This window comes from Homo sapiens, chromosome 5 (genome assembly GCF_000001405.40).
Source record: "Homo sapiens chromosome 5, GRCh38.p14 Primary Assembly".
Taxonomy (NCBI): domain Eukaryota; kingdom Metazoa; phylum Chordata; class Mammalia; order Primates; family Hominidae; genus Homo; species Homo sapiens.
Genome location: NC_000005.10, coordinates 62,534,524 through 62,553,308, shown reverse-complemented (window position 1 = coordinate 62,553,308; position 18,785 = coordinate 62,534,524). Strand labels below are relative to the sequence as shown.

At 35.2% G+C, this 18,785-nt stretch overlaps 1 protein-coding gene across 2 annotated transcripts in view; it reads right to left on the bottom strand.

Annotated features, from left to right (window-relative positions):
• The window catches only part of IPO11 (importin 11), a 215,820-nt gene that overhangs the window by 75,274 nt on the left and 121,761 nt on the right, over window positions 1-18,785 (bottom strand). For both annotated transcript variants that reach the window (NM_016338.5, NM_001134779.2), the window contains exons 23-26: window positions 16,528-16,607; window positions 16,020-16,100; window positions 2,847-2,942; window positions 1,973-2,086 (exon numbers count right to left, since the gene is read on the bottom strand). In NM_016338.5, the coding sequence (NP_057422.3) occupies window positions 1,973-2,086; window positions 2,847-2,942; window positions 16,020-16,100; window positions 16,528-16,607 (371 nt within the window). The remainder of the gene's footprint in view (window positions 1-1,972; window positions 2,087-2,846; window positions 2,943-16,019; window positions 16,101-16,527; window positions 16,608-18,785) is intronic.

Below are 18,785 nucleotides of genomic sequence, written 5' to 3'. Positions count from 1 at the left end.
TCGACCTCAAAAAAGAATGAATTCCTGTCATTCATGGCAACATGAGTGAGGCTAGAGAGCCTTATGTTAAGTGAAATAAGCCAGGAACAGAAAGAGAAATACTACGTGTTCTCACTTACATGTAGAAGCTAAAAAAGATGACCTCAAAGAAGCAGAAAGTAGAATAGTGGTTACTAGACTGGGAAAGGTAAGGGGAAAGTGAGGAGAGAGAGAGATATTGGTTAAAAGATAAAAAAATCACACATAGATAGGAGGAATAAGTTCTAGTGTTCTATATAGCACTGCAGGATAACTACAGTTAACAGTAATATATAGTTTCAAATAGTTAGAAGGAGGCTGTTGTATGTTCCCAATACAGAGAAATAGTAAGTGTTTGGGGTGACAGATATGTCAATTACCCTGATTTGATCACTATATGCTGTATGTATAGAAATAGCACTATGTACTCCATAAATGTCTACAACTATTATGTGTCAATTAAAAAAATTTTTAAGAGATTAATCCATGACTTTGGTGATTAAATATTTACTCATTGTGATCTCAGACTGAATCTTCATGAACTAATGCAAGGGAAGAAGGACATATATTTCAAGAAATGTTGGAAACATGACCAGGCCCCTCATGGAAACAAGAAAGTAAATACATAGTAATGGCATCCTGATGTTTCCTCTGGGTAATTTTAATTTCCTCTCTTATGTTCTTAAATATTTTTAGTTATCCTGTAATCTCAGCACTTTGGGAGGCCAAGGTGGGAAGATCACTTGAGCTCAGAAATTTGAGAACAGCTTGGAAAATATAGCAAGACCTCATCTCTACTTTAAAAAAAAAAAAAAAACTAAAAAATATATATTACCCCATTTCAATTAAAATTAATAAGCTAATAAAAATATACCCTATTTATTTATCAAAACAAGGGTTGGGATCTCTAATTAGATTAGTCTAATTCTAGAAAAGCTACATATATTTTAAAATTTGTACTTCCTTATTCTGGATTTCCTTGTATTAGAAATAGTTATATTTGTTTTCAGCCATAAACCAAAAGATTTTAAAAAATTGTCTCCATTGTAGATATATTCGTCAAGTATACCATATCTTCAACATCTTATAAATCTTAACAGATTAATGACTTACAGCATAATCTTATTTGAATATCTCATATATAGTCTTTTTTCTTTTTTCTTTTTTGAGACAGAGTTTCTCTCTGTCGCCCAGGCTGGAGTGCAGTGGCATGATCTCCACTCACTGCAAGCTCTGCCTCCCGGGTTCACGCCATTCTCCTGCCTCAGCCTCCCAAGTAGCTGGGACTACAGGTGCCCGCAACCGCGCCGGGCTAATTTTTTGTATTTTTAGTAGAGATGGGGTTTCACTGTGTTAGCCAGGATGTCTCGATCTCCTGACCTCGTGATCCACCCACCTCAGCCTCCCAAAGTGCTGGGATTACAGGCGTGAGCCACCGCACCTGGCCATATATAGTCTTAAATCACCTCACTAAAAAACCTATTCCAAACTTACTCTGGTAACAGATATCAACTACAATTTTTAAAAATAAACCTTTGCTAAAAAGGTCATTTTCCACAATAAACAGAACAGAAATACTCTCAATCTGTGGCATTAAAAAATAAGTTAACTAAAGAAGTAATACAAAGATGATACATCACTACATGCAAAATACCCGTTTCCAGATTCTGTATCAGTGAAGAAAAACAGCAGCTATAAACAAATCAACATTATATTCTAGGCTAAGCAGAATAAAATCACCTATTTTGAGCGAGGACAAAAATGTATAAGTTTCAAGTGCCACTTACAGATTCTTTTTCTACCCCAAATTATTGATACAGCATAAATAAAGATTTAAAATGTAAAGGTCTAAATACTACAAAGCGACTTTTACAAAGACTCATTATTTCATCAAACTATTTCTAATTTATATTTAGATAAAGACTTCCTTAAATTTAAGTATATTGATTCTTACCTCCTGATTAAATTTATGGGCCATCTCATTAAGTAGTGAAGAAAAAAAACTAGTGTTTTGTAGTAGAACTCGACCCATAACTCCAAGATACGTGGACATCACTACAGGATACCTCTGTACAATTAAAATACAACACATGTAAAATTGTGTTATGGTACAAGTAAAAACAATCACTGACACAGTAACAAGCAACAGGGATATAAAATAACATTCTCCTCCATGTTACTTCTCTTTAGAATGAACTATCAATACTGCCTGAGTTCTAACTTACTAAATACATATATGAATTATATGCACCATATATATATATATATATACAATAAAGAGAAAAATACTATTTATCAATTTCATATATTACTTTATTACTTTTTTTTTTTTTTTGAGATGGAGTTCACTCTGTCACCCAGGCTGGAGTGCAGCGGCGCAATCTCGGCTCACTGCAACCTCTGCCTCCTGGTACTATATTACTTTAAATACTCATAACATACACAGGTCCATGGATCTATTTAAGAGAGCTGTTCTTAGAAAATAACCAGTGGTTTAACATATTCAGTCTATAAGAACATTAATACTATTTTGTCCCCCTCATATTCTTAGTAGTCAAGCATTGGAATTAAGCCACTCACCATTCCTGTACTTCAAATGATTTTTGTGTGAACATACATGCATATGTTTGAAAGACACATGTCAAAGAAAATCTATGCTTCCCTGTGTGGAACAGGAAAAGGCAAAGGTGTCTAACCGCCCTGAAAATTTAACATAATTTAATATGATCCAAATGACAAGAAAAGCTTTCCTTCTGTATCTAACAGAGTAATTAAAACTAGAATCCTATAGTCTAACACTACCTTTGGAACTTAAAGAAAAATCTTACCTCCCCTTCTATAATACCCTTGAAAACATAGGGTAAAATCGGTTGAAACATTTGTGGACCTAGTATTGGGTTCACTTTAAGGGCATTTTCCACAACCTAAAAACCAGAAAGAAAGATTGGTGATAATACTGCAAGTCATTGCTTTATGAAAAACACATGTAAGGAAACAATGTACTAAAATAAGTATCACAGACCAAATTTAAGAATGCATACACGTATGCAGGGTATGCAATATTCTGACACTAGACACACTTTTACAAGATAATCCATTTTAAAATTGCAGTTTGATATGAAGTATATAATATTTACACACAGCTATATATCTTGCATACAACTGTATTTAATCACATTGTAATAACATAGGTATCACATGCAGTTAATGTAATTCTTACCCTTGCAATGTAAACAAATAACCCTTAAAAATGATGCACTAATAGAGGCAGCAAAAAGCATTTTTAAAACATTGGCTTTTTGATAGCTAAACAGGAAGTTAGTAACACCTATACTCACTGCCTAGAAATAAATCTACATTTAAGTTAATCAATAAATTGGAGGAAAAAGGGCATGTGGCATATATACTGCATATTTATTAAATTAGAAATCATATTTCATTCATAATTATACAGATCAGTCATGAGTATTGATTGTTACATGTGAAAACTTGACTAAAAATTATTTTGATATGAGTGAGATGTTTCTTTTACAACAAAAATGGGTAAGCATGAAATTCAAAGCAGGGTGGAGTTTGTTTATTTTTGTTTTAATATTTAGGAAGAGAAGAATGCAGTGGTCACGAAACAGCAAAAAGGACCAAGAAGGACATTTACCCCACACTTCCAGCCTAAGTGCTTGAGAGGTGGGGAAGGAAACAGATACCATCTGAGAGGGTTATGGGCAAGGAACAGCCTCAGGGTAAAGCCAAGTTTCCCTTATGACTTCCATTAATGCTTCTCAAGATGGACTACTGACATTTTGTATGAAGAGAACCATTTACAGTCATCCCATGCATGGAGGGAGATTTAGCATCTTCCAGTGTCTGCTTACTGTGTGCCAATAGTGTACTCCAAAAATTACGACCATCAAGAATACTTCCAAGCATTTCGAAACAGTCCCAAGGTAAGCAGATAGCATCCATGGTTGATAACAACATTTGTTGCTGCTCTAATTTTGAGCAAGAAGTGAAGGTAAGGTCCAAATAAAAGATTAAAAATATAAACACTATACTGTGTGGCAAGCACTATGTATGCTACTACTAAAAGATACAGGTATACAAGATATCAATTCCTCATTAAAAGCAAGAGGAGATAAAATTTGAAACAATAAAATTTTATCTCAAGTTTACTTTTTTGAAAAAACAAAAAACAAAAAACAAAAACACAACTAGATCTGGGAAAAAAGATAAACATGGAAAATATACAGATAAGCTAGTAGACCGAGAGAGTCACAGAGGCAGATATCACCAGACAGTATTTATCTGTGAGTAGAAAGTAAGACCACCTGCCCATTATTAAATACATGTATAATTTCACTCCCATCTAAAACCCTACTAAAATTACAGAAAAAAAATTTTAAGAGGGGGAGCATAATTTTAAAAAGACAAGAGGAATGAGAAACAAACACTGAAAGCAAGAAAGAAATTCAAGAGGAAACTGACTCAAGTCAGAGAAAGCTGAATCCCAAGGTGTCAAAGGAGAAAGCTGACAGAAGCAACCAGATTTACTTCATATAACTTCTCCCCTTCTCCACTCCAAAAAACACAGAAAGTAGCAGAATCTTATACTTTTGGGAAGGAGAAAGGGGAAGCTAAAAATAAGAAGAAAGAAAATAAGACTGGTTGAAAGTCTGTCTAAGAAACAGAGTGCTAGATATTTTCAACTCTGTAGTATCTGGACAACTGATGCCCAATCCAGGAGAACGAAGAGAGTGTATTTTCTCTAAAGAGTCTAAAAGAGATTGCTTCCAGACTATAAGAGCCCATCAGTGCCCAATGGAATGCATTTAAATAAACTTACATTACGGCACCTCATTCTAAAATTTCATAACAACAGGAACAAGCAGCAGCAGCTACAAACTTGGAAAAGAAAGAGCCCCAAGGTGGGAGTCAGCATGGCTCTGAAGAGACTTCCTCAAGAAAATTAAAGTAACAGAATCCTTGATGTGTCTGAACATATTGGACATCTGTCAGACAGTTTAGTGAACATAAAAAAATTATACCAAAAAAAGGTAAGTATTACTTCCAGAGAATACAAAAGATTGTACAGAAAAGGAGAAGTAATCACAGCTGACTACATGTCTCAGCTTTGAAGAAGAAATAGAGGAATCATGACGTAAACACTGAATTTTGATTACTTGGAGGATGAAGGCACAGAGGAAGTGCAAAGGCAGTATCAATACATACTGCCTACAATTAACAACTCATGAAGGAACAACACAGGGGTGTTATTTACAGATCTGAACATAGATACAAAAGAATCAATTGGCTACAAGCACTAAAAGTGGTTGTCTCTGAGCAAGGAAAAATGGCAGAAAGACAGGTGTCTACAGTTTTTTTCTTTAAGAAACCTTATATATCTATCTAGTTGACTCTAAACTATGTCATATAAAATTCTGGTTAAAATTTTAAAAACAAAAGGGTTTGAAGAGAATTTATAGTAATAATACATAGCTGTGGCTGGCCCCAATCCATAGGAATCTTTACAGTTTTATTTAGCAGCAGGGAGGAGGGGGTTGTGGCAAGGGAGTACTTAGAATTAATGTAAGGATTAAATAATCCCCACATAAAGCAGTATCTGATTGAGTAAATAAATAACATAGTCGTATACACAAATATTTCAGGGATAAAACAGAGTTTTTGTGGTCTAAAAGGTCTGGAACCGTAGCTAGAGAAGATGAGAGTTTCTGAAAGAAAAATACCATTATCAGACTTGGGTGCAGAGGGTATGGGACAGAATCAAGAGAAAATTCAGAACTAGAACTGGCAACATATAGAAAAGCTGAACAGTGGACCAAAGGTGAAAAAGTCTTTCACTGCTTCTAGCTTTCCTGTTTGGTCAAATGGGTACAATTGTGATGTCAGTAATAATGATGACATTCCACTCTGACATGACGAATTTGAGGTGCCTGTGGGAAATCCATATGAAATGGTCCGATATTATTTCTCTTATAGTGAAAAATGCCAGGTCCTATAACCTTATTTCTATCTACTATTCATATACACATATGAGTTTCAAAATAACAATACCAATATTACTGATGACAATAATACTACTGAATGTAATTACAAACTTACTTTTTTTGTAACGTTACATCCCACCAGGGATGTACATGTGAAATACTATGTATTAAAATGACTTGAAATATTCTTCTCAAATAGCTGTGCCACCAACATCGTAACAGTTAGATTCAAATGTTTCAGTCTCTTTTGTATCTTTAGGAATTGTTTTTATTTTTCCCCCTAAATCATGCTTTACCTCTACATGGTTCCAAACTCTAAAATATAAAACAGATATACATCCTGACAGATCTAGTTTCACCCTCTCCTCCTCTTTTTGCTAGATAGCTACTTTAATTACCTGGTTTATTCTTCCACTGCCTTCTACTTTTTAAACAGAAGAAAACTAGAGACAATGCTCCTTACTTATATTCTCAAACTCATATAGCGATTTTCTTCATTTCTTTTTAATGGAATGCACAGTACTCCACTGTGTAACTGGACAAGGTGTGGTACTTCAATCATCCAATTACCTATTACTAATTGTTTTTTGACAACATTTTGTTATTACAAAAAGAACTTTTGCACTTTAGTTTAAACCCATTCCCTTTCGAAATACACCTGCAACAGATTGTGTGTGTGTGGTTTTTTTTTTATATACTTCAAGTTCTAGGGTACAAGTGCACAACGTGCAGGTTTGTTACATATGTATACATGTGCCATGTTGGTGTGCTGCACCCATTAGCTCGTCATTTACATTAGGTATATCTCCTAATGCTATCCCTCCCCACTCCCCCAACCCTACGACAGGCCCCAGTGTGTGATGTTCCCCTTCTTGTGTCCAAGTATTCTCATTGTTCAATTTCCATCTATGAGTGAGAACATGTGGTGTTTGGTGTTCTATCCTTGCGATACTTTGCTCAGAATGATGGTTTCCAGCTTCATCCATGTCCCTACAAAGGACATAAACTCATCATTTTTTATGGCTGCATAGTATTCCATGGTGTATATGTGCCACATTTTCTTAATCCAGTCTATCATAGATGGACATTTGGGTTGGTTCCAAGTCTTTGCTATTGTGAATAGTGCTGCAATAAACATACGTGTGCATGTGTCTTTATAGCAGCATGATATATAATCCTTTGGGTATATCTCCAGTAATGGGACGGCTGGGCCAAATGGTATTTCTAGTTCTAGATCCTTGAGGAATTGCCACACTGTCTTCCACAATGGTTGAACCAGTTTACAGTCCCACCAACAGTGTAAAAGTGTTCCTATTTCTCCACATCCTCTCCAGCACCTGTTGTTTCCTGACTTTTTAATGGTTGCCATTCTAACTGGTGTGAGATGGTATCTCATTGTGGTTTTAATTTGCATTTCTCTGATGGCCAGTGATGATGGGCATTTTTTCATGTATCTGTTGGCTGCATAAATGTCTTCTTTTGAGAAGTGTCTGTTCATATCCTTCACCCACTTTTTGATGGGGTTGTTTTTTTCTTGTAAATTTGTTTGAGTTCTTTGTAGATTCTGGATATTAGCCCTTTGTCAGATGAGTAGGTTGCAAAGATTTTCTCCCATTCTGTAGGTTGCCTGTTCACTCTGATGGTAGTTTCCTTTGCTGTGCAGAAGCGCTCTTTAGTTTAATTAGATACCATTTGTCAAGGTTGGCTTTTGTTGCCATTACTTTTGGTGTTTTAGACATGAAGTCCCTGCCCATGCCTATGTCCTGAATTGTATTGCCTAGGTTTTCTTCTAGGGTTTTTATGGTTTTAGGTCTAACACTTAAGTCTTTAATCCATCTTGAATTAATTTTTGTATAAGGTGTAAGGAAGGGATCCAGTTTCAGCTTTCTACATATGGCTAGCCAGTTTTCCCAGCACCATTTATTAAATACGGAATCCTTTCCCCATTGCTTGTTTTTGTCAGGTTTGTCAAAGATCAGATGGTTGTAGCTGTGTGGTATTATTTCTGAGGACTCTGTTATGTTCCATTGGTCTATATCTCTATTTTGGTACCAGTACCATGCTGTTTTGGTTAATGTAGCCTTGTAGTATAGTTTGAAGTCAGGTAGCATGATGCCTCCAGCTTTGTTCTTTTGGCTTACGATTGTCTTGGCAATGCAGGCTCTTTTTTGGTTCCATATGAACTTTAAAGTAGTTTTTTTCCAATTCTGTGAAGAAAGTCATTGGTAGCTTGATGGGGATGGCACTGAATCTATAAATTACCTTGGATAGTATGGCCATTTTCACGATATTGATTCTTCCTATCCATGAGCATGGAATGTTCTTCCATTTGTTTGTGTCCTCTTTTATTTCGTTGAGCAGTGGTTTGTAGTTCTCCCTGAAGAGCTCCTTCACATCCCTTGTAAGTTGGATTCCTAGGTATTTTATTCTCTTTGAAGCAACTGTGAATGGGAGTTCACTCATGATTTGGCTCTCTGTCTGTTATTGGTGTATAAAAATGCTTGTGATTTTTGCATATTGATTTTGTATCCTGAGATTTTGCTGAAGTTGCTTATCAGCTTAAGGAGATTTTGGGCTGAGATGATGGGGTTTTCTAAATATACAATCATGTCATCTGCAAACAGGGACAATTTGACTTCCTCTTTTCCTAATTGAATATCATTGATTTCTTTCTCCTACCTGATTGCCCTGGCCAGAACTTCCAACACTATGTTGAATAGGAGTGGTGAGACAGGGTATCCCTGCCTTGTGCCAGTTTTCAAAGGGAATGCTTCCAGTTTTTGCCCATTCAGTATGATATTGGCTGTGGGTTTGTCATAAATAGCTCTTATTATTCTGAGATACATCCCATCAATACCGAATTTATTGAGGGTTTTTAGCATGAAGGGCTGAATTTTGTCAAAGGCCTTTTCTGCATCTATTGAGATAATCATGTGGTTTTTGTCTTTGGTTCTGTTTATATGCTGGATTACATTTATTGATTTGTGTATGTTGAACCAGCCTTGAATCTCGGGGATGAAGCCCACTTGATCATGGTGGATGAGCTTTTTGATGTGCTGCTGGATTCGGTTTGACGGTATTTTATTGAGGATTTTTGCATTGATGTTCATCAGGGATATTGGTCTAAAATTCTCTTTTGTTGTTGTGTCTCTGCCAGGCTTTGGTATCAGGATGATGTTGGCCTCATAAAATGAGTTAGGGAGGATTCCCTCTTTTTCTATTGATTGGAGACTGTCTCTCAGACCACAGTGCAATCAAACTAGAACTCAGGATTAAGAAACTCACTCACTCAAAACCGCTCAACTACATGGAAACTGAACAACCTGCTGCTGAATGACTACTGGGTACATAACGAAATGAAGGCAGAAATAAAGCTGTTCTTTGAAACCAACGAGAACAATGACACAACATACCAGAATCTCTGGGACACATTTAAAGCAGCGTGTAGACAGAAATTTATAGCACTAAATGCCCACAGGAGAAAGCAGGAAAGATCTAAAATTGACACCCTAACATCACAATTAAAAGAACTAGAGAAGCAAGAGCAAACACATTCAAAAGCTAGCAGAAGGCAAGAAGTAACTAAGATCAGAGCAGAACTGAAGGAAATAGAGACACAAAAAACCCTTCAAAAAATCAATAAATCCAGGAGCTGGTTTTTTGAAAAGATCAACAAAATTGATAGACCACTAGCAAGACTAATAAAGAAGAAAAGAGAGAAGAATCAAACAGACGTGATAAAAAATGTTAAAGGGGATATCACTACCGATCGCACAGAAACACAAACCACCATCAGAGAATATTATAAACATCTCTATGCAAATTAACTAGAAAATCTAGAAGAAATGGATAAATTCCTGGACACATACACCCTCCCAAGACTAACCCAGGAAGAAGTTGAATCCCTGAATAGACCAATAACAGGCTCTGAAATTGAGGCAACAATTAATAGCCTACCAACCAAAAATACTCCAGGATCAGACGGATTCACAGCCGAATTCTACCAGAGGTACAAGGAGGAGCTGGTACCATTCCTTCTGAAACAGACTGTGTTCTTAAAACTTTTGTGAAAAATGCAGGATTCAATTTACTTGACTTAGGCCTACACTGCATACAAAGTGATTAAACGCATGGATCCTAAAGTCAAAATGCTTGTGTTATATCATGGTTCCAATGCTTACTGAGTGGCCTTGAAAAAATTATTCACCACTTTGTGATTTAATTTCTCATCTGTAAGACTGGGGAAAAGAGCAGTACTATCATTATATGTTTATGTAAGGATTAAATAACATCTATGTTTTACATGCTTAGAATATGTAGCATATGTTAAATGCTAGTATGAGCTATTATTATTACACAATAAGTTACACCTTAAAAATATTTGTGTCATCTTAAGTCTAATCACAGTGAAAAAAAGAAACTTGGCTTAACATTGCTTAATATGACCATGACCAGAATGAGAATTCAAAAAGTCATAGTAGTACGGCTGTAATATTGACAAATTTCAAATATGAGAAATGTTAACAATTTAGAGTATTTTATAATTACATTCCTCTAGATAACATGTTCAGTCACAAAATAAAGTAAAGCGTATCCTTTGCTCTACACCATTTGCTCCAAAAGCAGGCATACTGGTCTCTCTATCCAATTTTCCTAACATTGTAACTTTCTGCTTCAAAGAACAAAGAAATTACTTGCAGACACTGTCAAAAATTAGTATAACAATGACATTTAGTAAAAAATATATTTAAAATGTTATATAACATACTATATTAAGAAATGGTATGAGAGATACTAAAAACGAAAATGAGCTAATATTAAAAACTATTGTTATTGCTATACTAGAACTCTAAGAACAGGAAAACGCCAAAAATTTTGAGTTTGCCCAGCCTTCAAATATAGCAGTAAAATGAAAGCACTATTGTCCTAAAATATTCCTTAACATAAAAATATAATTTATTCATAATGAACATATTTAGGATTTAACATCCATTTATTAAATAATAAAATCTAGTTTCTGAGATTTTTAAACCAAACATACAGATTTAGCTACAGCAATATTCGTATAAAAATACCATCTTAAACACATACTATCAGATTCTCAATTTTTCATTCTTTTTCTTTTTTTGAGGTTGTGGTGAGCCGAGATCACGCCATTGCACTCCAGCCTGGGCAACAAGAGCGTAACTCCATCTTAAAAAAATAAAAAAATAAAAAAAATAAAAAGAAATAAAAAAGAGAGATGCAGTCTTGTCATGTTGTGCAGAAGGCTGGAATCAAACTCCTCAGCTTAAGTGATTTTATAACCTCAGTCTCTGAAGTAGATAGGATTAAAGGCAAACACCACCATCTCTGGCTCCAAATTTGTTAATTCAAGTATCTGTATCCTAATCATAACCTACTGTTGGCATACTTACAGAGAAATTGCCTTAATCTGTAACATATTAAACGTTACAAAAATAATGACTACATATTTGACTATAGATTTTTGATATGCAGTAAGTTAGTTTGGAATTTTCAATAATAAAAATGTTTAAAAAGATTGTGTTATTCTGAGCAGCCAAAAAAAATAAAATAAAATACAATTAATTTTCTTCTTTTTTTTTTTGAAACAGGGTCTCACTCTATTGTCTAGGCTGGAGTATAGTGGCACAATCTCAGCTCACTGCAGCCTCCAACCCCCAGGCTCAAGAGATCCTCCCACCTCAGACTCCTGAGTAGCTAGGATTACAGGCACACACCACCATGCTCAGCTAATTTTTGTATTTTTTTGTAAAGACGGGGCCTCACCATGTTGCTCAGGCTAGTCTCAAACTCCTGAGATCAAGTGATCCGCCTGCCTCAGCCTCCCAAGGTGTTAGGATTACAGGCGTGAGCCACCACGCCTGGTCAAAATACAATTTTTTTTTTTTTTTTTGAGACAGCGTTTCGCTCTTGTTGCCCAGGCTGAAGTGCAATGGCGTCATCTCGGCTCACCACAACCTCTGCCTCCCGGGTTCAAGCGATCACCCTGCCTCAGCCTCCCAAGTAGCTGGGATTACAGGCATGTGGCACCATGCCCGGCTAATTTTGTATTTTTAGTAGAGACAGGGTTTCTCCATGTTGGTCAGGCTGGTCTCAAACTCCCAACCTCAGGTGATCCGCCCACCTCAGCCTCCCAAAGTGCTGGGATTACAGGCCTGAGCCACGGCACCTGGCGACCAAAATACAATTATTAATTATTTTAAAGAGCCAGCTGAAATATGCAGTTCTTGCTAATAATATACCATCATTGTATAAACAACTTGCTTAGTTTTAAAAGTAAATTTAATTAATGTACTTAAGTATTTATTTCAAATAAATGGTCAAAGAGTAAAGTGGAACAACTTGGTTTGTTTCTCTACAGCCAAATTATTTTGCCTAAAATTATAGTAGCCTATTTCCCCCCATAGAGAGACTAAATAATGAGACAGCTATATATTACATAAAAACAGCCAGCTCTTATATTCACTTATTACATGCTTGGCATTGCTATAACTGTTTATATATATAAGCTCAAGTATTCCTCACATCAACTCTAGGAAGTAGGTAAAGTTATCATCCCCATGTTACAGATGGAAAATGAGGAACAAAGACTAATCTGTCCACATCACATAGCTGTGAAGTAGCAGAGCCAATGTTCTAACCCTGGAAGTCTCCCTTCAGTGTGTAGTCTTACCTGCTATGCTACGCTCCCTCTAATAATGTGGTAAGAGTATAATTAAAAACAAGTAGAATCACAATGGCCATTCCAAATAATCCACAAGTTGTCTTTCAACAATTACTTTAACAATATTGTTGCAGAAAAGCCAAAAGAGGGGGATGGGGGTAAGGTCAATTCAAATTTGGTCTGGGAAGTGTTTAAATGTGAGAAATCACCTCTTTTCTTAATCACTTAGAATACATATATTACAATTTAACATGGAGAATTTCAGGTACTGCCTATTACAGAATAAAAATCATTTAGTATCACTCCTCATCTAATAACTGAGGAAAATGAAGACCAAAGTATACTCAGGAGCCATAAAAGTAGCAGGGCAGCATACGCAAACCAAGGGACTGGTCAAGCAGAGAATCCCAAATGGATCCTCAGTATAGTCGAGATCACATCTTCAACATAAAAATTATGGATTCCTTGTCTTTCAAGTCACTTACTATATATGTATTCAGAGCAAACAGAGCACACATTTACTGAACTTTGGATAATGGAGAAGCTCAGTATAATAGAGGAGAAAGGTTAAAACAGGCATACATACAGAAAAAAATCTGTAAAGACAATAATATCAAAATGACATGGCAATTTTCACTTGTTTTAATCACTCCCACATCACCAATCACTTTTTCCTCAAATAGTCAGAATTAAGTCCAACGTATTAATTCCTTACTTCCTCTTACCTCCAGAGAAGAATTTATCACCAAAGCAAAAGCTGAAGCTGAAATTGTATAAGACTGAGTTCCTTAATATACTTATATTGCCACTGTGTCAGTTTAATAAAGGCATAAATGCAATAAAAATTCATAAAGGCATTTTAGTAAGCAACATGTTTGATGTTACTTGTAAGCTTTGGAGCTAGGAGAATACTTTGAAATTAATAATAAATGTGGATTAATAGACTAGTCCAATAAACCAGGCCTCAAGTATCCAGGGTCTCAACAAGCCACAAGCACAGATTACTGTTATTACAAGTCCTTTAGAGCCCACATGATTCTTTGGTAACAGTGGCTTATATTCTCACCCTTTAGTAAACCCCTTGCTCTAAAAAAGAAACTAATAAGCTAAAAAATTAAAGCCAAAGAGTTCTGCCGTATCCCAGATGTAATCAAGGTAAGATGAAGATATTAGGGAATGCCCTTAATCAATTATGACTTTTGTCCCTGCAACAACAAAAACAAAACAGAGACACAGACAGATACCAGGAGAACATCATGTGACAGCGGAAGCACAGATGGCAGGATTACGTATCTACAAACCAAGGAACGCAAAAGACTGCCTGCAATCACCAGAAGGTAAGAGAAAGGCTTGGAACAGATTCTCCCCCTAGACCCTTCAGAAAGAGCAAGGCCCTGCAAACACTGATTTTTTTAATTATATAATTAACATAAGTATTATAAAGAAACTCTTGTTTTAAGCCACCAAGGTTGTGGTATTTTGTTACAGCATCCCTAGGAAACTAATACAGTCCTTACTGATCTCCTTAAGCTCCTTCCTTTTCTCATCAATCTATAATTTAATACTTCAATAATCTGGCAGATGACCCTTCCAATTTACAGACACAAAAATACGTTTTAAATGTTAGTTTTAAAATGTAAATCCCCATGCTCAGCAGACAATCCTAACAGCATTTCTCTCCTTACTCCTGTTCACTTCACTGCAGTACTTAACACTATATTCGCCTGATTCATGCTAGCAGAGTTACGACAGTGAATAAAAACACAGTCATGCACCACTTATCAACAGGGATATGTTCTGGGAAATGTGTCATTAGGCGATTTCACTGTTGTGCAAACGTCATAGACTGTGCTTACGCAAATCTAGATGGTATCTTACTGGTTAATGTATGAGTCAATTTTCATACTGCTATAAAGAACTGCCTGAGACTGGGTAATTTATAAAGGAAAGAGGTTTAATTGAGTCACAGTTCAGCATAGCTGGGGAGGCCTCAGGAAACTTACAATCAAGGCAGAAGGTGAAAGGGAGGCAAGGCATCTTCTTCACAGGGCAGCAGGAAGAAGTGCTGAGCGAAGCGGGAGGAGGCCCTTATAAAACAATCAGATCTCGTGAGGACTCACTATCATGAGAACAACATGGGGAAAACCATCCCCAGGATTCCCTTGACTCAGGAGACCAGGTAGAGATAACTAATCAGGGGGCAGTAATCCCTACAATCCCCTTGATCATGGGGTGATTTGGGTGGGGACACAAAGCCTAACCATATCAGTTATGAAGTAAGACTTCATTATCTGTGCAAACTTTTACTCACTTAGATCCTAAAGTACACTTTGGATTCTTGCTGCAGTTACTCTGATTACCTAAGTGCACTTCTGTAAGCAAACCTCTTTGGGTAACCTCTTTCATTTCACTGGGAGGAAGTGAAATCATTTTTAGGCTCTAAAGCAATGCCACGATTTTCACACCATAATGCTACTTTGTTGTGATAGAAATTCAGCTCTCATATCTTAGAACATAGCTGAGAACCTCAACACTAAAAATAAAGGTACTTTTTTTTAATCAATTTTATATTTATTTTATTATACTTTAGGTTCCAGGGTACATGTGCACAACGTGCAGGTTTGTTACGTATGTATACATGTGCTGTGTTGGTTTGCTGCACCCAAATAGGGGTACTTTTAACAGCTACACCTTCTCTCAAAGTCCATACATAAAGATATTTTAATATATTTCTACATACATTTATGTTTATATGTAAATATATACATTTAATACTATTTATATCTTTAATAGACAGGTATAATATATAAAGATAATATACAACTTAGAGACTGTTAGTTCATAATTACAGAATATCAACAAACGTGGTATTCTAATTTTGATAGCCAACTTAAATTAAAGCTATCAAATTATAACGTGAAAACTTTGTCCCAACAGCAGACTAACAAAATGAAAGAATAAGAAGTATCAGATATCACATCACTGGATAATTTACAAGAGTTTTTAAATCCTTACTACCCAAAGTGAGGTCTCAAGATAGGCAACATCCCAATCAGTTCAGACCTTGTTAGAAATCCAGAATTGAATTTTTATAAGATGTCCAGTTGATCTCTTGCCTGTTGAAGGTGTATGCACCTTCAGATTTGAGACCTCTGGTCCACAGGTATTAAACCAACTGAAAACTGCCAAAATAGCCTGTCTAGAACTATATCAACTCTTCTCCTTCTTGCGAACCATCCAAATGAAAGTCCAATTTCATAAAATATAAATGAAAAATTCATAAATATATTCATTTAAAATGATCACAATACCTTGAGCACCTGAACTTGACCTTCTGTAGTAATTTCCTTTAAAAGTTCACAAAAGGACTGGCATAGACCTACTGCGTATGTCTGAAATTCAATTAAAAGTCAATATATGTAAGAATATATCTGTAATATCAAAAAGGCATAAAATTTCATTTGGGATTCATTATAATATACTTGAGAATTATACACTAATGGTCTAAGCATATCAAATTTCAATCAGAACGCTTAGGAAAAGTTAAAAAAGATTATGCCAAATAAAAATATAGATTATTGATACACTGATTTTCATAGGAATATAAAAAAAATTTGTTGACATAGCACATTTTCTGCATTGAGAAAGGAACTGCATGCAGCACATCTGCCCTGCAATGGGAAATGCTCACAGTCAATGTTTCTCTGTCTTAAAATAACAGACCAATCTTAAAATTTTGAAAACGTACCCCCTGATTTCAAATAATAATCAAAATAATAATTATATAATTTCATATAATGCAAAAGTACTCCAACATACCTGTAAAAATTCTGTTGATGATAAAAAGATATAACCATTGATGATCTTAAAGCAAGTTCTAAGATTTTCTGAACTTAGTTCTGCCAAAACAATAAATGTCAAACAAAAAACCAAATTAATTCACTGCTCAAAATTAGTTTAAATGAAGTGATTCATAGTTATTTAAAACTAATTTGCATACTCTAGAAACCTCTTCCGAGTACTATCAAGACTACCAGTATCTACAGATATCTAAAAACTGGCATCACTAGGACTTAAAGGGTACAGTCACCAATGATCACGCCACTGCACTCTAGGGTGGGCAAAAGAGTGAGACCCTGTCTCAATGAATGAATAAATGAATGAATGAATGAATGAATGAATGAATACTGGTATCAACCCAAAGCTTAATGCTACCTCATTTGCTTTTCACTGGGTGAAACATTCAGAAAAAAGCCAAGCTCCCCATATATTTTCCTTTCAGAAAAAAAAACCACCTAACTATTTGACCCAACCTTTCATTTCAAAATAAATTTTTACTGCTAGCATGGCATACTACATGAAACTGAATCATTTTACCATCATATTTTGACATCTGCTTAAATGGGTTCACTCAGTGAACATTTACTGAGTGTTACTGCACTTGCACTAAATATGCGATATTACTTCTCAACAGAGTCCTGATCACACTCCAAAAAAATTATATTATGTTTAGATATTTTCAATCTTTCAGTTTTTATCAGAAAAGGATATCGTTTTTAGCTATTCCTTTGCAAGTGCAGAGTAGAAACTATTTGTTAAAACTGAATATGATCAAAAGTTGACACTGTGCTATTTTACATGTTTCACTACTTAAAATAATAATACAAAGGAATACAGGCTGTACGTGTAAAATTATACAGATTAAAATATGACCCCAAAATATCATCGATGCCTAAAACCTGCCATTCTTTGCTGCAAGTATTTTAGAAATTATATTCACTCAAAATAAGACAAATTATTTTTTCTTAATTTCTGGCAAAAGATTAGCCCCTGTGTTCTTATCTATCATATCTTAATAAAAAGAAGACATTCTATTCAGATGTGAATTTTCCATTTATTTTCACAAAAGAATGACAATCCTACCCTGTCTCAAAATGTCTCTGAAGGCATTAGTTCCTAAACTTTAGGATTTGACAGTTTTAAAAAATGAGGATAAGAAGGGGACAGGAAATGATAAACTTATTACTAGTTACTAATCTAAAAGACATAAAAAAACCAAAAACTGTCATCTAAGTATCTTTTTACAAAAGAAGATAAAAATCTCAGGATAAAGGGGGCCTTTATATTAGATAAAGCTATCATTATGAAAAATTCACATTATCCTTTTCTCCTCAAGGAGAAAGCCTGGACTCGTGCATACTTTTTTTGTAGACCAACAATGAACAGCAGACTGGCCATCGCCATGAAAAGTAGGGCCAAGGGTCTATATTTAAGAGAGAACTGAGAATGGCTTCATTCCAGACGTATCAGGGAATATAATTTTGAAATCATTGCCAAGTATAATTTTATCAAAATCAATGTTTAAAAAAAAACCAACATTTAAGAAGACTTGATATAAAAAGAAAAGAGCCCGTCTCTTCCTACAGATATTTAAAAACTATTCCTGGATCGTTCTATACAAATTAGGTCACTTCACACTGCTTTCCATGCCTCTGCCATGCCCAGGATGGCACTGACAAAATTTTCTTGGGCATGTTATCATCATCAAATAAATAAATAAATAAATAAATAAATAAATAAATATTAATATTATACATAGCCTTAAAATTAACAAATTTATCTGTTTTAAGGTACTGGACACTGTTCATTACATCCACAAGTTCCTAGTGAGACTCTAAAGAAAAATTTTCTAGTCCTAATACCAAGAAGTTATACTTCAATCATGCAATAGATAGGTATTTACTTTCAGATACTGAGTAATTTATGTCTATGGTTCGCAGTCAGGGGCAATTTTGTCCCCTACAGGACATTTGGGAATGTCTAGAAACATTTTTGTCATCACTATCATCAAGTAGGTAGAAGCTGAGGATACTTTTAAACATCCTTCAATGCAAAGGAAAGTCCCTCACAACAAAGAATTACCTGACCCAAATGTCAACAGAGCCAAGACTGAAAATCCCTGATTTAAGTGACTAGGTTTTTCTTTTCGTAGACTTCTACAGAACTCTAAGGTAAACCTGTATATAACCTATCAAAGTATTTAGTTATGCACTGTGCATATATGATTCATATCTTTA